The sequence below is a fragment of the Homo sapiens genome, chromosome 3 (genome assembly GCF_000001405.40).
Source record: "Homo sapiens chromosome 3, GRCh38.p14 Primary Assembly".
Lineage (NCBI taxonomy): Eukaryota > Metazoa > Chordata > Mammalia > Primates > Hominidae > Homo > Homo sapiens.
Window position 1 is genome coordinate 49,284,734 of NC_000003.12, and position 23,548 is coordinate 49,308,281.

General features: G+C 47.4%; 1 protein-coding gene across 2 annotated transcripts in view, besides 1 other annotated feature; it reads right to left on the reverse strand.

Annotated features, from left to right (window-relative positions):
- Window positions 1–23,548, reverse strand: part of USP4 (ubiquitin specific peptidase 4) — a 62,910-nt gene that overhangs the window by 7,590 nt on the left and 31,772 nt on the right. For both annotated transcript variants that reach the window (NM_199443.3, NM_003363.4), the window contains 9 exons: window positions 20,982–21,155; window positions 17,651–17,809; window positions 15,734–15,958; window positions 13,819–13,902; window positions 13,137–13,231; window positions 9,674–9,865; window positions 7,777–7,865; window positions 1,365–1,592; window positions 116–186 (listed from right to left, as the gene is read on the reverse strand). In NM_199443.3, the coding sequence (NP_955475.1) occupies window positions 116–186; window positions 1,365–1,592; window positions 7,777–7,865; window positions 9,674–9,865; window positions 13,137–13,231; window positions 13,819–13,902; window positions 15,734–15,958; window positions 17,651–17,809; window positions 20,982–21,155 (1,317 nt within the window). The remainder of the gene's footprint in view (window positions 1–115; window positions 187–1,364; window positions 1,593–7,776; window positions 7,866–9,673; window positions 9,866–13,136; window positions 13,232–13,818; window positions 13,903–15,733; window positions 15,959–17,650; window positions 17,810–20,981; window positions 21,156–23,548) is intronic.
- Window positions 19,122–19,171: a silencer, noted in NCBI's record as "silent region_14360". NCBI's record gives its function as "represses an Ori minimal core promoter by ATAC-STARR-seq in GM12878 lymphoblastoid cells {active_cell/tissue: GM12878}" and the evidence as "EXISTENCE:reporter gene assay evidence [ECO:0000049][PMID:35858748]".

Sequence of the window (23,548 nt, forward strand, 5' to 3'; positions counted from 1 at the left end):
TCTCAGTCTTAAATATAACTTGCTAAATTGCTGTCCAACTGGTGAAAGTGATCGCAGTCCACATCCAGAGCAGAAACCAGCAGACACCACCGACCACGAACCCCGAGGGACCTACCTCAGATTCTTGCTCATCATAGTAAAGTCTCCGAGTTTCACTGTCCCAATCCATGGCCAGTGTAGATCGAGCTGAGGAGGACCAAAATGTCACTTGTTATGGAATGGCAAGCAACAGGAAAGGCTCTCCAAGTGACAGGAGTGAGAAGGACCACACTCAGGCCACACCATCAACACCTTCTCCCCCATCAGCAGCCAGTGTCAAGAGCAATGCTCTGCAATGGGCCAGCCCTTCTGACCCCCAGCCCCAAAAAGCCTTTGGCAAAGACTTCCTCAGTGATACAGATAAGCTACGAAGGAACTAACTGTGGAGAATTCTGAAAGGGCACAGGTCAAGATGGGAGTAATAGGGACCAGATTTATCATCCTACCATAAACCACAAAAAAACTGACAAAATGGATGAAACAATTGTTTTCAGACATTGGATAGAGCAGGAAGGAGATCCCTGACAGAAGGAAAAAAAAAAAGAGACCCCTACATCGCCCTAGCTTATTGCCTGCAGGCAGTTTCCAGGACTTAGCATAGGGGAGAGAGGGGAAGATTAAGCTGAAAAGTCAAAGACTGGAGTTTGAGAAGATGGCTAGAATTTGCAAGGCATTCCAGCCTGGGCAACATAGTGAGACCCTGTCTCTACACAAACTACAAATATTAGCTGGGTGTGGTGGTGCACACCTGTAGTCTCAGCTACTCAGGAGGGTGAGGTGGGAAGGGAGCTGAAAGACAGAGATGCTTCTCCTCCCCTAACTGGCAAAGGTGTCCTCACTGGCCAATTGTGCTTTTCACACAACCCCTCAGAATGCCTCTTCCTGTCTGTAGAGCAGTCCCCATTACAACCTCCATGTGTCGGTGAGGCTACAAAATCCATGACCATCCTCTGAATGGGTACATTTCGTGAGTATTAATGAACAAAATAAATATGCGCTTATTCTTATAAGTGAGCAAGTATGGGGAAATGTTGCTGCCAAGGGTGGCCACAGGAAAGGTTATCGACCCACAGCAAATTCCCGCAGAGGGAGTGGAGGGAGACCTACTTTCCTCTGAGGTCATCGAGGACTGAGGAGAAAAGCCTGAAAGGTAGGGGGATCTCTGAAACAGTCCTTAGGGGGCTTCAAGCCAAGGGTCATACAAGTGCTGCTCCTGGAGGCACAGAGACTGTGAAAGCCCAATGCAGTGAGTGTCAAGTGTAAGGATTTTCAAACAGATCCTAAGACCCTAAAGCCCAGCTTGAAAGGTCAGAAAAAGTGCTTACAGTTGAGTTTAAGTAGTTTTCCATCAGCTGCAAGTGAATTTATGTCAGCTGTTCCATAGGAGTTCACAAGACTGAAGGTAAAAAGCCTTTTTGGGCAGGGCTGGCCTTTGATCTTCTTTTGGGTGGTCTCACTGGGGTCATTTCCTGGCTCATCTTCCCCACTGCCTTCTGTTTCTGAAAGCTGCTCTTTGCCTTCTTCCTGATGCTCCATTTCTTCCTCATCTTCTCCTGGCACATAAATGGAAAACAATATGTATATAATTTCCTACCATTTCAATGTTAAAAATTTTATTTAATACATAACTATGGTGTTTCCTTCCAGATTTTGTTCTGTGTATATGAAGTTAAATCTATTCCTTTGCATTTAACTTGAATTCACATGTGACTCTCACCACACCCTTGCAAGACAGGCAGACTGGGCACTGCTATTCCACGATGAGGAGGCAGTCTCAGAGAGCTTAAATGAGCCACCTGCAGGCACAATGAGATTCAGAAGCCCTGCCATCCTGTCTACTGGCCATCACAGCACATGGTCTCTCACTCTTGCAACTTCACCATTAGGCCCACAGAGAGAAAAGGGCTTAAATGAAACGCACACTCAACACTCAAGAAGACAGCTTGGTAAGAAACACTATCTATCTTCCATTCCATCCATTCCTTCCATCCATCCATCCATCATCCATCCATCTATCCATCCGAGACAGTCTCACTCTAGCCACTCTATCTATCTATCTATCTATCTATCTATCTATCTATCTATCTATCTATCTGAGATGGAGTCTCACTCTGTCACCCAGGCTAGAGTGCAATGGCACGATCTCGGCTCACTGCAACCTTCACCTCCCAGGTTCAAGCGATTCTCCTACCTCAGCCTCCTGAGTAGCAGGGATTACAGGTGTGCGCCACCATGCCCAGCTAATTTTTATATCTTTTTAGTAGAGACGGGGTTTCACCATGTTGGTCAGGCTGGTCTCGAACTCCTGACCTCAGATGATCCACCGGCCTTGGCCTCCCAAAGTGCTAGGATTACAGACGTGAGCCACTGCACCTGGCCCTATTTATTTATTTATTTTTTGAGACGGAGTCTCACTCTTTCGTCCAGGCTGGAATGCAATGGCGTGATCTCAGCTCACTGCAACCTCCGCCTTCTGGGTTCAAGCAATTCTCCTGCCTCAGCCTCCCAAGTAGCTGGGACTACAGGTGCGTGCTACCACACCCGGCTACTTTTTTGTATTTTTAGTAGAGACAAGGGTTCACCATGTTCACCAGGATGGTCTCTAGCTCCTGACCTCGTGATCCGCCCGCCCCGGCTTCCCAAAGTACTGGGATTACAGGTGCGAGCCACTGCACCCGGCCAAGAAACACAACTTAAAGGTCAATTGCCTTTTTTTTTGAAGTGGAGTCTCACTCTGTTGCCCAGGCTAGAGTACATTGGTGCAATCTCGGCTCACTGCCACCTCCGCCTCCCAGGTTCAAGCAATTCTGCTGCCTCAGCCTCCTGAATAGCTGTGATTACAGGCACGCACCACCACGCCCAGCTAATTTTTGTATTTTTAGTAGAGACGGGGTTTCTCCATGTTGGCCAAGCAGGTCTCGAACTCCAGCCCTAAAGTGATCTGCCCTCTCGGCCTCCCAAAATGATGGGATTACAGGCGTCAGCCACCAGGCCCAGCTATTTTCAAATATTATAATAAACACAAATATTAAGTATTCCGTTCCTCCAGAAAAAAACCTATCATGAATTTTCCTTTAGTATTTACTAAAGGTCTCTTAGGTGCAGGTACCATGCTAGGTTCCAGGGCTCCATAAGGGGAGCACACAGTCTAAAGTGAAAGTTAAAGTATCAAATAAGTAACTTTAGCAAAGATGGGGACCACTCCAAAAGGTGGTGTAAAAGTAACAGAGAAGAGCAGATTTAAAACAAAGAATCTACATACTTGATCAGTAAAAATGGAAATTCTGAGAAAAGGAGAATGTGCTATTTAAGAGCCCACAACCCCTGGCTCTCATGGAGGTTCCTTTCCGAACTTGCTTAATTCCTGAGATATGACACTGTCCCTTTACACACAATAAGCCTGTCCCCCTCCTACACTGGCAAGAAAAAACCTGCCCTGCCTGCTGCCTCTCGGAGAAGGGCAGAACCCAAAACTGCCTCTATCCCACTCAGGAAATGAGCAGTGCCCTCATACTTATAAGAACTCTGTCCTGGCCCATGCCACTGGCTGCCAGTTACCTGGATAATGCCAGGAGCCTTGGGCCAATGCAGTCAGAATTAAATGCCATGGACTGTATTTCACAGGATGAGAAAAAAAGCAGCCTATGATCCCAGCACCTTGGGAGGCTGACGCAGGTGGATCACCTGAGGTCAGGAGTTTAAGACCAGCCTGAGCAACATGGTGAAACCCCATCTCTACTAAAAATACAAAAATTAGCCAGGCATGGTGTCAGGTGCCTGTAATCCCAGCTACTCGGGAGGCTGAGGCAGGAGAATCACTTGAACCTGGGAGGCGGAGGTTGCAGTGAGCTGAGATCACGCCATTGTATTCCAGCCTGGGCAACAAGAGCAAAACTCCACCTCAAAAAAAAGAAAAGAAAAGAAAAAGAAAAAGCAGGATCCACTGAAAGCAGCTACCCAAAGTCACTCAGAAAATCAGCAGGGGACCTAAAGGTCAGCAGTCACAGGCCTAACAAGGAGCCATGTCAGTAGAGGTTAAAAATGCTTTGTGGTTATGCCGGGCACAATGGCTCACGCCTATGATCCCAGCACGTTGGGAGGTTGAGGCAGATGGATTGCTTGAGCCCAGGAGTTCGAGACAAGCCTGGGAAACATGCAGAAACCCTGTCTCTACAAAAAAAAGAAAAATTAGCTGGGCGTGGTGGCACACATCTGTAGTTCCCAGCTACTCAAAAGGCTGAGGTGGGAGGATTGCTTGAACCCAGGGAACGGAGGTTGCCGTGAGCTGAGATTGTGCCACTGCACTCCAGCCTGGGCGACAGAGCAAAAGAAAACAAACAAACAAAAAAACCTTTGTGCTTAAACAAGGTCTGAAGTCTACACACCAAGATTCACCTGTAGGATTCAAAAGGTGACACTCATTGTCCCGGACATGCCTAAGAAACAGGGTTAGGAGTAAAAATAGCAAACACACTCACAAGATGTTGTTACTGATTGAGTGCCTTTCATGTGCCCTGTCCTTTAATCGCATGACCTCAAATTGTAATTGCAGATCTGTGAAGCAGATATCCTTTTGCAGACAGGTAAACCAAGGTTCAGAGGGATGAAGTGACTTGTTCAAGTCCACCCCACACCTTGAGCTGGGGATCAGAGTGCCTTAGCTTCCAGAGTACCACAGATCACCCAGGGGCTGTTCAGAGACCTATTACCATTCCAACACCTCTGCTGCTGGACCTATAAACAAAATGTATTCCTACTTATCCCTAGCGGGAAATGAACATAACATTTCGGGCAAGAATAAGAAGCCAAATATTGAGGCCGGGTGCAGTAGCTCATGCCTGTGATCCCAGCACTTTGGGAAGCCGAGGTGTATGGATCACCTGAGGTCAGGAATTCGAGACCAGCCTGGCCAAGATGGTGAAACCCCATCTCTACTAAAAATACAAAAATTAGCCGGGCATGGTGGTGGGCGCCTATAATCCCACCATTGCACTACAGCCTGGGTGACAGAGTGAGACTCAGTCTCAAAAAAAAAAGAGAATCCAAATATTGGCCATGTGTGGCGGCTCACGCCTATGATCCCAGCACTCTGGGAGGCCAAGGTGGGTGGATTGCTTGAACTCAGGAGTTCAAGACCAGCCTGGGGAACATGGGAAAACCTTGCTTGTCTCCACAAAAAAGAAAAAAAAAGAAAAAGAAATTAGCTGGGTATGGTGACACATTCCTGTAGTCCTGGCTACTCAGGTGGATGAGGTGGGAGGATTGCTTGAGCCCAGGAGGTCAAGGCTGCAGTGAGCCATGATTGCGCCACTGTATTCCAGCCATATTCAACCCTAAAATACCAAAAATAATTTGGAGTATCTCTTGATGACAGCCTCAGGCCTGTAACCCCAGCACTTTGGAAGGCGAAGGTGAGCAGATCACTTGAGGTCAGGAGTTCGAGACCAGACTCGCCATGATGGAGACACCCCGTCTCTACTAAAAATACAAAACTAGCCAAGTGTGGTGGCGCACACCTATAGTACCAACTACTTGGGAGGCTGAGGTGGGAGAATCCCCTGAACCCAAGAGACTGAGGCTGCAGTAAGCCAAGATTGTGCCACTGCACTCCAGCCTGGCCAACAAAGTGGACTCCATATAGAAATAAATTAATTAGTTAAAGTCAGTTCTCACTTTCTAGGACTGCATGTCTTGGAGGAATCTGGACATTTGGTTTTGCAACTGATAATTTTTTGTTTTTGCTGGTTTTTGTTTTTGTTTGAGATGGAATGTTGTTCTGTTGTCCAGGCTGGAGTGCAATGATGCAATCTCAGCTCACTGCAACCTCCGCTTCCTGGGTTCAAGAGATTGTCGTGCTTCAGCCTCCCAAGTAGCTGGGATTACAGGCACACACTGCCATGCCTGGCTAATTTTGTATTTTTTAGTAGAGACAGGGTTTCACCGTGTTGGCCAGGCTAGTCTCGAACTCCTGACCTCAGATGATCTGCCTGCCTTGGCCTCCCAAAGTGCTGGGATTACAGGCATGAGCCATCGCACCCGTCTGCAACTGAGAATTTATGTGCTGGGCGCAGTGGCTCACACCTGTAATCCCAGCACTTCACGAGGGCAAGGTGGAAGGATAGCCTGAGCCTGGCAGGTTGAGGCTGCAGTAAACCATGATTGAACCACTGCACTCCAGACTGGGTGATAATCAAGACCCTACGCTTTTTTTTTGGAGACGGAGTCTCAATCTGTCGCCCAGGCTGGAGTGCAGTGGCGTGATCTTGGCTCACTGAAAGCTCTGCCTCCCGGGTTCACGCCATTCTCCTGCCTCAGCCTCCCAAGTAGCTGAGACTACAGGTGCCCACCACCACGCCTAATTTTTTGTATTTTTAGCAGAGATGGGGTTTCACTGTGTTAGCCAGGATAGTTTCGATCTCCTGACCTCGTGATCCACCCACCTCAGCCTCCCAAAGTGCTGGGATTACAGGTGTGAGTCACCGCACCCAGCCTCAAGACCCTACTCTTAAAAAAAAAAAAAAAAGCTGGGCACAGTGGCTCACACCTGTAATCCCAGCATTTTGGGAGGCTGAGGCAGGTGAATCATGAGGTCAGGAGTTCAAGACCAGCCTGGCCAAGATGGTGAAAACCCATCTCTACTAAAAATACAAAAATTAGCCAGGCATGGTGGCATGCGCCTGTAATCCCTGCTACTTGGGAGGCTGAGGTAGAGAGTTGCTTGAACCCAGGAGGCAAAGGTTGCAGTGAGCCAAGATCGCGCCACTGCGCTCCTGCATGGGCGACAGAGCAAGATTCCGTCTCAAAAAAAAAAAAAAAAAGAAAGAAAGAAAAAGAAAAGAAAAAATTTACAGCACTAGCTTGAAAGACATATATGGTTTTACAGAAAGCCACTGAGTCACGTAAGTCCCAAAAAGAAGAGTGACATGTCAGGTGGGGTGGCTCACACCTGTAATCCTAGCCCTCTGGGAGGCTAAGGCAGGAGTATTGCTTCAGGTCAGGAGTTCAAGACCAGCCTGAGCAACATGGCAAGACCCCTGGTCCTTTTTTTTTTCTTTTTTTGAGACAGAGTTTCACTCTGTCGCCCAGGCTGGAGTGCAGTGGCGCGATCTTGGCTCACTGCAAGCTCTACCTCCCGGGTTCACGCCATTCTCCTGCCTCCCAAGTAGCTGGGACTATAGGTGCCCGCCACCATGTCCGGCTAATTTTTTGTATTTTTAGTAGAGACGGGGTTTCACTGTGTTAGCCAGAATGGTCTCGATCTCCTGACCTCGTGATCCGCCCTCCTCGGACTCCCAAAGTGCTGGGATTACAGGCGTGAGCCACCACGCCCGGCCAACCCCTGGTCTTCACAAAAAATTTAAAAATTAGCTGGGTGTCGTGGCATGCACCTGTAGTCCCAGCTACTCTGGAGGCTGAGGTGGGACAATCACTTAAGCCCAAGAGTCTGAAGTAACAGTGAGCCATGATTGCACCACCACATTCCAGCCTGGGTGACAGGAATGAGACCCCTATCTGGAAAAAAAAAAAAAAAAAAGGAAGATTCCACAAGGTAGCAAAGTTGGACAACAGGCACTGGCAGAGTAGAATGTTGTAGACCTAACTCCTAACTCTGCTGCTGTAGGCAGAGCCCCAACCCAGTCCCAACCCCCTTCTCCCATGTGTGTAACACCTTTAGAAGAAGAGGGAAATCAGGAGGTATTTGGTCAGTCACAGCCACAGAGCATGGTGCATACTCACCTTCACAGCTGTTCCTGGAGCCATTGCAGGCCCCTGGCTCCAAGGGTGAGCTGCCAAACTCATCAGGTAAAGGCTGTTTCACATAGCGGCTTCAAAAAGAGAAAAAGAGAAGAAAAAAAAGATTGTTAGTTGTAACATTTATCTATTTTTTCCACCATGCGGCTAAGAAGTAGTTCATAATTTATATGGATGATAGCTACTGACAAAGCAATTTATGTAAATAGAAGTGCTTTAGAATTATCCACTGGGCCAGGTGTGGTGGCTAATCCCAGCACATTGGGAAGCCAAGGCAGGTGGATCACCTGAGGTCAGGAGTTCGAGACCAGCCTGGCCAACATGGTGAAACCCCATCTCTAGTAAAACTAAAAAAATTAGCTGGGCATGGTGGCACATGCCTGTAATCCCAGCTACTCAGGAGGCTGAGGCAGGAGAATTACTTGAACGTGGGAGGCAGAGGTTGCAGTGAGCCGAGATCATGCCACTAGGCACTCCAGCCTGGGCAGAGAGCAACTCTGTCTCAAAAAATAAATAAAATAAAATAAAATAACACAGTGGCTCAATATTTTAAGAAATTAAAAACACAAATGGCCAGGCATGGTGGCTCACACCTGTAATGCCGGCACTTTGGGAGGCCGAGGTGGGCAATCACCTGAGGTCAGGATTTCCAGACCAGTCTGGCCAACATGGTGAAACCCCATCTCTACTAAAAATACAAAAGTTTGGCCAGGCACGGTGGCTCATGCCTGTAATCCTAGCACTCTGGGAGGCTGAGATGGGAGTGTCACTTGAGGTCAGGAGTTTGAGACTAGCCTGGCCAACACGGTGAAACCTCCTCTCTACTAAAAATACAAAAATTAGCTGGAAATCACTTGAACCTGGGAGGTGAGGGTTGCAGTGAGCCGAGATTGTGCCACTGCACTCCAGCCTGGGCAACAGAGTGAAACTCCATCTCAAAAAAACAAACAAACAAACAAACAACAACAACAACAACAAAAACATACACACACAAAACTTAGCCGGGCGTGGTGGCACATGCCTGTAATCCCAGCTACTTGGGAGGCTGAGGCAGCAGAATCACTTGAACCTGGGAGGTAGAGGGTGCAGTGAGCCGAGATCGTGCCACTGCATTCCAGCCTGGGCGAGAGAGCAAGATTCCATCTCGGAAGGAAAAAAAAAAAACCCACAAGAAATTAGCCAATGAAGACTCTTAAGAAAGTTTGTCTCGAGTCTTATGTGAAAGTCATGTGGCACCATCAGTTTTGAAGGTATTTCCCAATAATCCTAATTTCCAGCTTCAGAACGATAGTGGAACACTTCAGAAATAAAATACAAATGCCATCAAAGCGCTAGCCTCCCTAACATGATTCTAAGAGGACTGGACTCCTAGGATCACGGTACCTAAGATGTGCCAGGTGGCTCATCCCAATAGCACCTGCCCTGGCCCATCCAGGGGCTGGCACAAGTGCATTTTTTTTTTTTTTTTTGAGATGGAGTCTCACTCTGTCACCCAGGCTGGAATGCAGTGGCGCGATCTCAGCTCACTGCAGCCTCTAGCTCCCAGGAGAATCAAGAATCAAGCGATTCTCCTGCCTCAGCATCCCGAGCAGCTGGGATTACAGGCACCCACCAGCATGCCTGGCTAATTTTATATTTTTAGTAGAGACGGGATTTCACCATCTTGGCCAGGCTGGTCTCAAACTCCTGACCTCAGGTGATCTGCCCGCCTTGGCCTTCCAAAGTGCTGGGAGTACAGGCATGAGCCACTGCACCCGGCAAATGCATTTCTTACAGAGGTGAGCATGTAGGATCAACACAGCCACTTGGCAGGAGTTGCCACTACTATTACTGGGTATATCTTCATCTCAGATAACAACCAAATCACATTCCTGCCACCAACCTGATACGATCACAAACAGCCTGGTACAAAGACTCAAGGGTTAACTTGTGCTTGGGGACAGAAAGCAATAGTGGCTGCCCATATAGCGCTGATGCGGAGGAAGTGCTTGATGGCCTGGACTTCCTCTCCCTGAAGTAGACTGGAAGCGTGACACATTCCGAGCCATCCACGGAAGTGCTGCAGACCTCGTACCTGCGTCAATCACACAAGAGGGCACTTTTAGCAGTAGGTCCTTGTGAACAACAGAGATCTGAGCTGAAGCTATGTGGTGGCCAGGGCTATGATTACTGGGACAGAGCATATTTGAGTAGAAAAGGTGGCTATAACTATTGCCAAGACGTTTCTAGAGGTTGAGTCAGGAATCCCTAGAAGGACCATTGTCAGCACAATGTGAACCTATACAACCTGGGGCTGAGGGCTAACCGTGATACTCCTTCTTCCAACCACGGCCTCAAACTCTGTGGTCCTTCAACTGGGACCCAACACAGATAACAGCCATCATTCAGATCATCACTCTGAACACAAAGGCACACAGCTGGGTCCAGCCACCAAGTTCATCTTTTGTCATCAAAGAGCTCATCTTTAAAAAATGTATTGAGTTGGCTGGGCGCGGTGGCTCACGCCTGTAATCCCAGCACTTTGGGAGGCCAAGGCGGGCGGATCACGAGGTCAGGAGATTGAGACCATCCTGGCTAACACGGTGAAACCCCATCTCTTCTAAAAATACAAACAATTAGACGGGCATGGTGGTGGGCACCTGCAGTCCCACCTACTCGGGAGGCTGAGGCAGGAGAATGGTGTGAACCCAGGAGGCGGAGCTTGTAGTGAGTCAAGATCTTGTCACTGCACTCCAGACTGGGCAACAGAGCGAGACTCCATCTCAAAAAAAAAAAAAAAAAAAAAAAAAAAAAGCATTGAGTGCCCTGCCCTTTAATAAGACCAAATATTGTACAAAGATGTACACCTAGGATATTAGCCAAACTCTTTTTTTCCAAATGAGCAAGCAAATTTATAAAAGTAATTGTCATCTTTGTTCAAAAACACTGAAGTGAAAGAATCGTATCTAATTCTGAAAAACATCAGAGATAACCAAAGAAACTGCTAGATACAAATCAATGATTTTGAAAAATGTGTCTTACTTAGTGAATACATGGGATTGAGGAGATTTATAGATGTTTTATCCTGGAACAGATGTTACCAAAATTGCTGGCAACCGACTGTAGTCTTTCCCTCTTCCTATAGGGGGAGACACAAACTTACTGATTCAAATTTTGAAACTAAACATATGCACGTGTGCGCGCGCGCGCGCACACACACACACACACACACCCCCCCCTCCCCAAATGCCTAGCAAACAGTCCTGACTGAAGTTTATGAAGGAGGAATTTCTAATACATAAAAATGTCCAAGGTGTGCTCTCGAGTAAATACTGTGGTCCAGCATAGTGGTAAAGAACCAGGCCTTGGAGTGCACCTGCCCCAGGTTCCAGGTCCACATTGCCATTTTCTGGCTGCTAGTAATAAGCACCTAACTTCTTAGTCTATTTATTCGGTGGACAATGGGATTACCCACTTTAAAAGGTGTGGTAAGAATTAAATAATTTAGTAGCACAGTGTACAACACATTAAAAAGTAGCAGATGCAGGCCGGGCACAGTGGCTCACACCTGTAATCCCAGCACTTTGGGAGGCCGAGGGGGACGGATTACGAGGTCAGGAGATCGAGACCACCCTAACTAACACAGTGAAACCCCATCTCTACTTAAAATACAAAAAATTGGCCAGGTGTGGTGGCACGCGCCTGTAGTCCCAGCTACTCAGGAGGCTGAGGCAGAATGGCATGAACCTGGGAGGCGGAGCTTGCAGTGAGCCACGATCACACCATTGTACTCCAGCCTGGGTGACACAGCAAGACTCTATCTCAAAAACATAAATAAATAAAAAATAAAAAATACCAGATGCTGGCCGAGCACAGTGGCTCACGCCTGTAATCCCAGCACTTTGGGAGGCCAAGGCGGGTGGATCACGAGGTCAGGAGATTGAGACCATCCTGGCTAACACGGTGAAGCCCTGGCTCTACTAAAAATACCAAAAATGAGCCAGGCGTGGTGGCGGGTGCCTGTAGTCCCAGCTACTCGGGAGGCTGAGGCAGAAAAATGGCATGAACCCGGGAGGCAGAGCTTGCAGTGAGCCGAGATTGCGCCACTGCACTCCTGCCTGGGAGACAGAGCGAGACTCCGTCTAAAAAAATAAAATAAAATAAAATAAAAATACCAGATGCTACTATTGCTTTCATAAAACAATTGTCAATTCAAATTCATCTATAAAAGAATTTGTTTTTCCAATGGTTGGCCCATAGGCCCTCTGAAAATTCCTTTGTTGGTGGTCTGCTAAGCTCCCCACAGGGTAATCCTCCAGTTCCTTTCAGCTCAGGTGTGTGAAAACACTACTTTCTGGAATTTACAGAGACCATGTTAAGGGCTTGGGGTTATATGTGAAAGTGGACTTTCCCATGTTCTAGCCCTTGGCACAGTGTCAGCTCTTGGCTGTGTCTGTGCAAGTGAGAACAGAAATAGATCTTGGGTGTGGCTAGGAACTATTCCTTTTAGAGAGATCTAGAAGTCATAGGCCCAAAAATGTAAAGGGAAGGAACTATCTCCTTTACATACTGAATTCCTCAGCCAAAAACAAAAACCAAAACAAAATCCTAAAACCCTTTCTCAGCAGAGGCAAGTTCCTGAGTGAGAGGTAAAGAGGGAGGGACAGTACGGCTGTGCTCCATACTTCCTGGGCAAGTGGCTGCCTGGGAGCAGCAGGCAAGTTCATGTATGGGAGCAGCCGGCAAGTTATTACACCACTGTGCCTGGAAGAGGGACACACACACAATTACACAGAGCAGCCATGAAGCAGCATGTGGGAAGGCAGAGGAGGCCTTTGTATTGTCCTCACAGAGATGAAGAAACTCAGTCTCAGAGCTTACAGAATGTTTGAGCTGAAAACAGCTGTTTAAATCAGCCCTGTCATTTCTGCATTGGGGATGGTAGTATCATGGTACTCGCTGAGAAGCTACAGCCTGTGGCAGAGAAAGGACAAGATCCTTCCGTACCACACCCCTACTACCATCTTCCCATCACACAGCTGGGATTCCTCTTAAGAAAGGCATCTCTGATGGTAGGACCATCTGTAGGAGCAGTGATTTGGCCTTCTTCATAGGCAAAACTGTTGAAAAAAGGCTGTGGCTGTGCTGAGGAGAGTTATCAGAATGTTTAGCTCTGCAGGGCAGGAGGGGTTGAGCACTGATGGCTGCCCACGATGCCCTCAATACCCATCTCTTGCACCCAGGGGTCAGGGCCAATCCACATGAGCAATGACTGCCCACATTTTTGTTCTGGAGATATGAATGCAGCAAAGTCTCTAGAATGTGTCCTCTGACCTGACCTGCAGCAGAAACTGCTGAGTACTCACACGAAAATGTCATCCCGAGGCATGATGTGGTTTAAACCTTCATCCATTTGGAAAATTTTGTGGAATCGGTGATTATACACATCTGCGACCACCATCTAAGAATGAACAGTAACAGAAAGACCACAGAATGGCTAAGAGTGCCCCTACTAACTGCTTAAAACCCAGAAACAAATGAAAAAAAAAATACTCATACTCAAATGTTGCCTCTAGAGAAACCACCACACAAACAGCCCCAGAGAGCTGAGGGCCAAGGCCCAAGGGGGAGCAGCATGGCTGCCATCAGAATTGAACATGCTGGTAGCATCTGCCCTCGACTGGCAGGAAGGGCGAGGAGTGTGGTGCTAACCAGAAACCAGCAGTTGTCCAGAGCCTCTGGAGTATTCCATAGTCTGCAGTCTCTATGCCACCCTCAGTGCACAGATCTGACAGCAGAGCCCTACTCCTGGTCCTTTGACCACGGCTAGTGTGAACCCAATGAAGGAAAGATAGTGTTTCCTGGAGCTGGAAGGGACAGTCTCAGTCACAATGTGCATAGTGAGTGAGGCATCCAGACACACACAAATAATCACATTTGTGCTGGCAATAACAACAACCCCAAAAAGTGGCTTCAAGGTTGAAAGTAAACTCCAAATGCTATGAAGTATCCCAAATAGACCGAGTGCCACTGATCACCCCGCCTTACATTTTCTGCAGCAATGCCAGACAGCCTGGAGAGAGCCTCGCACAGGTCGGACACAGCCCCCATCAGCGGCACAGTCACACGGTACTGCAAGACAGAGATGGTCAAGGTCACAGGGGTGCCCCACAAAGGGTGCGAAATGCATTAGGAGAAGCAGGCATCACTAGGGGCAGAGGAGCCCTTCTAGAAACAATGTATGGTGAGGTCAGGGTACAGATGAGTCAGAAGCAGAGCAAATAAGCAGGACCTCTATGTCAGCATCCTCCTCAATACACAGGCAGCAGCATGGGGGCTAGGCCATCTCTTTCTCTTCCAAACATTGCTTCATTTTATTCTTAATTCTTTAGAGTACTTTCTGAAGAACTGCTGAAATTATACAAATTCAAATTGCCATCTGGTCCTACCTTTTTATTTTATTTTTATTTTTTGTAGAGACAGGGTCTCAAACTCCTGGCCTCGAGCAATCCTCCCGCCTCAGCATCCCAAAGTGCTGGGATTACAGGTGTTGGCCACCAAGCCCGGCCTCAACTTTCTTTTTTTTCTTTTTTCTTTTTTTTCTGAGACACAGTCTTGCTCTGTCACACAAGCTGGAGCGCAGTGACGCGATCTTGGCTCACTGCAACCTCCACCTCCCGGGTTCAAGCGATTCTCCTGCCTCAGCCTCCTGAGTAGCTGGGATTACAGGCGCGCACCACCACGCCTGGATAATTTTTGTATTTTTAGTACAGACAGGGTTTCACCATGTTGGTCAGGGTGGTCTCGAACTCCTGACCTCGTGATCTGCCCGCCTCGGCCTCCTGAAGTGCTGGGATTACAGGGGTAAGCCACCGTGCCCAGCCTGCCTCAACTTTTTTTTTTTTTTGAGACGGAGTCTCGCTCTGTCGCCCAGGCTGGAGTGCAGTGGCGCAATCTTGGCTCGCTGCAAGCTCCGCCTCCCGGGTTCACGCCATTCTCCTGCCTCAGCTGCCCGAGTAGCTGGGACTACAGGCGCCCGCCACCATGCCTGGCTAATTTTTTGTATTTTTAGTAGAGACGGGGTTTCACCGTGTTAGCCAGGATGGTCTGGATCTCCTGACCTCGTGATCTGCCCGCCTCGGCCTCCCAAAGTGCTGGGATTACAGGCGTGAGCCACCGCGCCCGGCCCTCAACTTTCTTTAGAGACAAAGAAACCAAAACCAGAAGGCTAAGCAATACAATTACTCAGTGAGCCATCAGCAGGGTAAGACACTAAGACCTGCTGCTCACACCTCTCATCTGGCCTAATCTTCTGTACAGGCTGTCCTAGGTTATGTGAGGGTATATCTGAGTACGAAAAGAACCGTGCTTCTGGTTCCCCAACATTCAGATTCAAGAACCACTTAGTAGATCAGGTTACTTTAGTCGCGTGAATGAAGTGTGGCCAAAAAAGTGACAGAGGCCGGGTGCGGTGGCTCACGCCTGTAATCCCAACACTTTGGGAGGCCAAGATGGGCAGATTACTTGAGGTCAGGAGTTCTGGCCAACAAGGTAACATCCTGTCTCTACTATGTCTCTACTAAAAATACAAAAATTAGCTGAGCGTGGTGGTACACGCCTGTAATCCCGGCTACTGAGTGGCTGAGGTAGGAGAATCGCTTGAACCTGGGAGGAAGACGTTACAGTGAGCTGAGATCATGCCACTTCACTCCAGCATGGGCAACAGAGCGACTCTGTCTCAAAAAAAAAAAAAGTGACAGAGAAGCAAAGAAGCTGCAAAGACCTTCACAATAGGCCTTAAATGATATGGGATTAGACAAAGGTCTGATGGAGGCCAAGGGCCCATACCCAGGCAAGTACCAAGGGGACTCAGAGGCAGCCAATGCAGCAGATAGGAGCAGTCCCACTGGGATCTGGAGACCACTTGCAGTGAGGGGTGCCATAAGGGTGTGGATTCTGTCACCTGAGTAGGTCTGCAGTGAGGGTCAGCAGGAACCAGGAAAACCTCCATAACTCGATCTTTCTTCAAGGGCAGTGGCAGCGTTAGATAGCAAAATGGGTCAAAGGTCACAGAAACCTTAGCACATTCTGGGCAAACCAAAGTAGATTTGAAGAGGCCATGGAAAGTATCCACAATCACAGAATCATTCCTCAACCTGTGATTCTCCCAGGCTTCCTTTGCCACCACCTGCGTCAAAGGGATAAACAGGACATTCTCAACACCTCTCAGCCCCTTGCCCCTGCATCCAGAATGACTCACAGCAAACCTGGAGATGAATCAGGTGGCAATCTGTACAGCCAAGAGCTTGATCCAGGACAAACAAGGCCAGGACTACTCTTAGTGTATCATACTCATACCACATGCCAGCTCTACGCCCAATCCCCACCCCAACACACATATATATATTTCACATATATGTTTATATATATACATATTTCAAATATATATTATATTGATTGATTGAGACATGGTCTTGCTCTGTCGCTCAGGCTGGCGTGATCATGGTTCACTACAGCCTCAACCTCCCGGACTCAAAGCGATCTTCCTGCCTCAGACTCCCAAGTAGCTAGGACTATAGGCATGCATCACCATGCCTGGCTAATTTTTTTAGGTTTGGTAGGGATGGGGGTCTTACTATGTTGACCAGACAGTTCTAGAGCTCCTGGCCTCAAGTGATGCTCCCACCTCAGCCTCCAAAGTGCTGGAACCGCAGGGGAAAGCCACTGCGCCTCGCCCTAATCCTCACACTTAATAAGGTTGGCAACATAGGACCTATTGGAAACTAGGGGTCTGTGTGTCCTGATAAGAAACAGAAGCCCGGAGAACACTATCGGTACAGAGACATGGCCAGGGCAAGGAAAGCCCCCCTATATGTTTCCAGTGATCTAAAGTAAGGTTTTTGGCGGGGCACGGTGGCTGACGCCTGAAATCCCAGCACTTTGGGAGGCCGAAGCAGGCGGATCACCAGAGGTCAGGAGTTCAATATCAGCCTGGCCAACATGGTGAAACCCCCTCTCTACTAAAAATACAAAAATTTGCTGGGCATGGTGGCACGTGGCTGTAGTGCCAGCTACTTGAGAGGCTGAGACAGGAGAATCGCTTGAACCCGGGAGGTGGAGGTTGCAGTGAGCCAAGATCACGTCATTGCACTCCAGCCTGGGCAACAGAGTGAGACTCCATCTCAAAAAAAATAAATAAATAAATTTTAAAAATAAAGTTTTTATCTATACTACAGCTCAGCTAACTCATAGTTTTTCTAAGAAGATCTAAATTTTACTTTAAAGCATTCATATTGATTATCCCAATGTGATAGGGTAGCTGAAATACTAAAATCCTCTTGCACTGATCAGATAATCAAGGCAAAAGGTATAAATGTCCTAATGATACTAATAACAAATTAAGTAATCATGGATGGATTTTATTGTGAGCAATAACAATCTTAGGGGTCCTCACTATAGGTACTTTACAGTTTTCAGAGTGTTCTTAGTCCCTAGTTCACCAGTGAAATATCAAACAAGCTCACTCTAATTTGAAAAAGCCCAAGAGGAAGCCTTAGGAGTAACTAGGGTACAGTGCCTCACGCCTGTTGTAATCCCAGCACTTTGGGAGGCTGAGGTGAGAAGACTGCTTGAGCTCAGGAGCTGGAGACCAGCCTAGACAACACAGCAAGTTTCTGTCTCTATTTAAAAAAAAAAAAAAAAAAAGCAGTAACTACAGTTAGCCCCTTTCTGACCAGAGACCATATCCCTATAACTAGCTACAGTGAGAAGCAACCAGGGCCCTGGCAACAACACTCAAAGACCAGAAGAATATCCCTGCACTCTCAATAGGAGGCAGCTTCTTTGGCATATTATCATTCAGACATCATTAATGGCATACCGCATCTGGCCGCCCATTGGCATCCTTCAGCTCCAAGTAGGGCTTTTTCTTTACCCGGTTCAGATCTTCATGCAATCCATCTAGAAGAAAGGCCAGCAGCTCCTGAGAATCTTGTTGCTGGTAGCCAGAAAATTGAGGAGCAAAACGTCCTACTTGAGTCTACAACAAAAGCAACTGTATCAGAAGGCATAATACGTAAAGAACTAGTTAAATCAAAAAAGAATTGCCATCAAAAATAGCTCTGAGGAGTTAGCTGGGGCAGTGAGAGAGAACACTTGGTTGAGTAGTCCAATTAACTCCTGAAGAGCCTACAGGAGGCCAGTGGTTCCCACCAGAAAGAAGGCCTAGATCAGAGAGCCAGGAGGATGAACCTGGAACCTGGGCCACTGCCCTAAGTCCTAAGGAGGAAGGGTGGAGTACCCTGAGTAACCACACCCAAGTACTGACATGAATCCCTCTCCAACATGTCCTTCTTTGGTTCAGAGTCTTAAACTCCATAAGGACATTACAAACAATACTTTCATCAGCTGGAGGAATCCTCCTGTACATAACAGCCCTCAGGTCCCTAAATACTGTCTGTCCAGTAATACTCTCCACCAGTTATTCTGAGAGTATGGTCCCCAGTCGCAGCATTAGTATCACCTGGGAGCTTAGTAGAAAAGCACATTCTCAGGCCCCACACCAAACCTATTCAATCAGAAACTCTGGGGATGGGTCTAGCAGTCTGTGTTGTATTAAGCACTCCCAGAGATTGTGATGCATCCTATGGAGAACCAGCCAGGCACGGTGGCTCATGCCTATGATCCCAGAATTTTGGAAGGCTGAGGCAGGCAGATCACCTGAGGTTGGGAGTTCAAGACCAGCCTGGCCAACATGGTGAAACCCCGTCTCTACTAAAAATACAAAAATTAGCTGGGCATGGTGGTGCACACCTGTAATCCCAGCTACGCAGGAGGCTGAGGCAGGAGAATCACTTGAACCCAGGAGGCGGAGGCTGCAGTGAGCCGAAATTGTGCCAGTACGCTCCAGCCTGGGCGACATAGCAAGGCTGTCTCAAAAAAAAAAAAAAAAAAAAAAAAAAGGAGAACCACTGTTCTACACCTGTTCTCTAATACCATAGCCACTAGCCACATATGGCAATTGAAATTTACATTAATTACAATTAAAAACCATTAAAAATTCAGTTCCTCGGTCAAATGAACCACATCTCAAGTGCTCAGAGGTGCTTGAGCTGGTAGCTACCAAAACACAGTGCAGATATATAACACATCCATCACTGAGGAAGCTCCACACTTCCCTAATACCCCTAAACACTACCTTCCAGTTGTTTATTTACATTAGCTTCAGCACAGTGTGTTGCCACCCAATTCTTTTTTATTTTTTTTTCTGGGACAGGGTCTCACTCTGTTGCCAGGCTGGAGTGCAGTGGCGCAATCTCAGCTCACTGCAACCTCCGCCTCCCAGGTTCAAGCAATTCTCATGCCTTGGCCTCCCGAGTTGCTGGGATTACAGGCATATGCCACCACGCCTGGCTAATTTTTGTATTTTTAGTAGAGATGGGGTTTCACAATATTGGCCAGGCTGGTCTTGAACTCCTGACCTCAAGTGATCCACCCACCTTGGCCTCCCCATGGGCTGGGATTACAGGTGTGAGGCACCGCACCCAGCCGTTGCCACCCAATTCTAGTTTCTTTGTGACTTAGTATGTGAACAGTCATTTATATATTTCCCAGGGATTCATGTGACCAAGGGGATGAAAGATAATTAGTTTTCAATTTCAACAAACCACCTGAGATTTTAGTTTTCTCACTGAGCTAAGGTGCTATTTTTTTTCCTCTCTGAATCATAAATATGCATGTCTTTTCTTATCATATGCTTCATGAAGCTCCATGAATCCCAGTGGTACAGGCTAAATAGGATCTTTCAGATTTCAGCTTAAATCTGCTGAGCGGGAGGGAGCAAAGCACCTCCACCTCAGCAGGAAAAAGCAGTTGGGGCAATGGAAAGCCCAAGTTGCTCCGAGTGTATCCATGTCTTCTCCTTAAACCTTCCTGGCTGAGGGACCCCAGTGATAACTGCCCCTCACATCACCTTCCAAGAATGTGAGCCCAATTCCTGACTTAGGGGGTCCCAACTCAAACCACGAAGCCTGTAGAATCCAGGCTCAGAGAACCTGGAAACAGCCTTCAGATGATACTAGAAATTAAACTGAATTTTCATTTTTTTTAGAGACAGGGTCTCTGTCGCCAAGGCTGGGTACAGTGGCACAATCACAGCTCACTGCAGCCTTGACCTCCCAGGCTTAAGTAATTCTCCCACCTCAGCCTCCCTGGTAGCCGGGACTACAGGTACATCACCATGTCCAGCTAATTTTGTTGTTGTTGTTGTTGTTGTTGTTGAGACAGAGTCTCACTCTGTCGCTCAGGCTGGAGTGCAGTGGCGTGATCTCGGCTCACTGCACCCTCCACCTCCCAGGTTCAAGCAATTCTCCTGCCTCAGCATCCTGAGTAGCTGGAATTACAGGTGCGCACCACCACGCCTGGCTAATTTTTGTATTTTTGGTAGAGACGGGGTTTCACTATGTTGGTCAGGCTGATCTCGAACTCCTGACCTCGTGATCTGCCCGCCTCAGCCTCCCAAAGTGCTGGGATTACAGGAATGAGCCACCACGCCTGGACTTTTTTGTTGTTGTTGTTGTTTTTTCTTTGAGACAGAGTCTCGTTCTGTCACCCAGGCTGGAGTGCAGAGGCGCAATCTCGGCTCACTGCAAGCTCTGCCTCCCGGGTTCACGCCATTCTCCTTCCCCAGCCTCCCGAGTAGCTGGGACTACAGGCGCCTGCCATCACACCTAGCTAATTTTTTTTTTATGTATTTTTAGTAGAGACGGGGTTTCACCATGTTAGCCAGGATGGTCTCAATCTCCTGACCTTGTGATCCGCCCGCCTCAGCCTCCCAAAGTGCTGGGATTACAGGCGTGAGCCACAGCGCCTGGCCCAGATCCCATCTTAATCCCAAAATGCAACGAAAGGAATGCCTCATAACAACACTAAACCACTCTCCCCAAAGTGGGAAAAAGGAAGTACGGGAGAGTATCCCTTATCCAAAAATCTGAAATCCAAATGCTTAAAGATCCATAACCTAACACTGACATGATATTCAAAGGAAATGCTCACTGAAACATTTTAGATTTTGGAATGGGGATGCTGAACTAGTAAGCATAATGTAAATACCATAAAAAAAAATCCTAAAAAACCTGAAGTCCCGAAACATTTCTGGTCCCAGGCATCTATATACAGGGATACCCAACCCATATATATATATGTCTACCTACTTTGAACATGCGAGGTGCCACATGGGCGTCCCTTCCAGACCACATCTGCTTAATGAGTTCAGCATAGGCTTCTGCAATTTCCCCTTTCATCCCCAGAGGGTTGTCTCTGTTGATTTCGGCTTCATACTCATCTTTGAGAAAGTAGTCAGTCAGTGGTGCAGTGTTGCTCAAACACTGAAACAGAACATGATGAGGGCTTTACACACCTTCTAGACAGTACCAGAGATACAAGATAAATCAAGTTCTAAAGGGTCACTGAGGGACAACGCCAACAAAATGAGGCACTCAGGAGATTCTCTGAAGGCTCACGACAGTAAAGCACAGCCTCAAGGAGGCCAAGCTGCAAGGTGGACCCCTTGCAGCTAATCTCGGAGGGACGTGGTCTTAGAGGACCGCATATGCATTGGCTAAGACTTTGTCTCTGAAAAAAACTACCTTAGGAAAAAAGCTGAATAATTGCATAATTCTTATTTAATGAAAAAAGTGTTTTTTTTTGTTTTTTTTTTTTTTGAGACAGTTTCGATCTTGTCCAGGCTGGAGTGCAATGGTGCGATCTTGGCTCACTGCATCCTCTGTCTCCTGAGTTCAAGCGATTCTCCTGCCTCGGCCTCCTGAGTAGCTGACATCACAGGCACCGGCCACCACACCCAGCTAATTTTTGTATTTTCAGTAGAGATGGGGTTTCACCATGTTGGCCAGGCTGGTCTCAAACTCCTGACCTCAGATGATCCGCTCACCTTGGCCTCCCAAAGTGCTGGGGTTACAAGCGTGAGCCACCGCGCCCAGCCTTTTTCATTAGTTTCTGTTCTTAACGCTATTAGTTCTCTCCTACTTCCTTTGGGTTCTTTTTCCTAGCATCATGAGATAGAAGCTTAAATCATGAAATTTTAACCCTTTTTGCCCTAATATTTACATTTAGAACTATAAAACTCATCATTATCCTCGCTCAATAATAGCTAAGGAAAATTGAGGGTACAAAGACTTGGAAAAACTTGCCCATGAGAAGCCAAATCACACCTCTTCTTCAGTACTAGGCTACTTCCACCTCACCACAAGAGGAAAATAATTTTTTTGTTTTGTTTTGTTTGAGACAGAGTTTTGCTCTTTTTGCCCAGGCTGGAGTGCAGTGGCGCAATCTCAGCTCACCGCAACCTCTACCTCCTGGGTTCAAGTGATTCTCCTGCCTCAGCCTCCCGAGTAGCTGGGATTACAGGCATGCGCCACCACGCCCAGCTAATTTTGTATTTTTAGTAGAGATGGGGTTTCTCCATGTTGGTCAGCCTGGTCTGGAACTCCCGACCTCAGGTGATCCGCCTGCCTCAGCCTCCCAAAGTGCTGGGAGCCACCGCGCCCAGCCGGAAAATAATTTCAAAACCCAAGGGTTATCTAATCTTTTAACAAATGTTTTATGTTTTTGCTCACACTACAAAAAAATTCAAAGTTAGACTGTAGGCCAGGTGTGGTAGTTCATACCTGTAATCCCAGCACTCTGGGAGGCTAAGGAGTGTGGATCACTTGAGGCCAGGAGTTCAAGACCTTCCTGGCCAACATGGTGAAACCCCATTCTACTAAAAATACAAAAAATTAGCTGGGCGTAGTGGCACATGCCTGTAATCCCAGCTACCCGGGAGGCAGAGGTTGCTGTGAGCCAAGATTGCACCACTGCACTCCAGACTGGGCAAGAGAGCAAGACTATGTCTCAAAAAAAAAAAAAAAGTGAGAATGTAAGTCTTTAAAAAATTTTTTTTTAATTTTTAGAGATAGGGTCTTGCTTATGTTAGCTAGGCTTGGTCTCAAACTCCTGGGCTCAAGTGATCCTCCCATTTGAACCTCCCAAATCACTGGGAAACAGGTGTGAGCCACTGTGCCCAGCCAGATTATCAATTTTATGAGGACAAAAACCATTGCTGGTTTGCTTACCACTGAGTCCCTATGTAAAGAATATTGGGCCAAGTGCAGTGGCTCAGATCTGTAATCCCAACACTTTGGGAAGCCAAGGTAGGAAGACTGCTTAAGGCCAGGAGTTTGAGACCAGCCTGGGCATCATAAGTGAGACCCCGTTTCCACAAAACAAAACAAAACAAAACAAAACAAACAAACAAACAAAAAACATACATACAAAACAAAAAGAAAAAACAATTAGCAAGGCCTGGTGGTACACACTTGTAGTCCCAGCTATTTGGGAAGCTGAGGTGGGAGGATCACTTGAGCCCAGGAGTTCAAGGTTACAGTGAGCTATGATCATGCCACTGCACACTAGCCTGGGCATCAGAGAGAGTTCCTGTCTCTAAGAAAAAAAAAAATGAATTTTGCTCTGCTCAAACAGAAGGTCTAGCTTTGCCCCTGGCTTCTGGGAGGTAATCTATTTGCCCCTGGAATGTTATGCCTGATAGGACTGTCTGTTTGCCTGGTGGGCCTTGGGTCATACTGGATAACCTAACAATACAATTTTGGAGGTGGAGAAGAGGCTGATCAGAACTGTACAGTCTAGTCCTAGGGTGAGAAGGGCTAGCCACTCCAGAAAAACCAAAAATGTGACTTACGGTGGGGGCTTTGGGTCACATGGT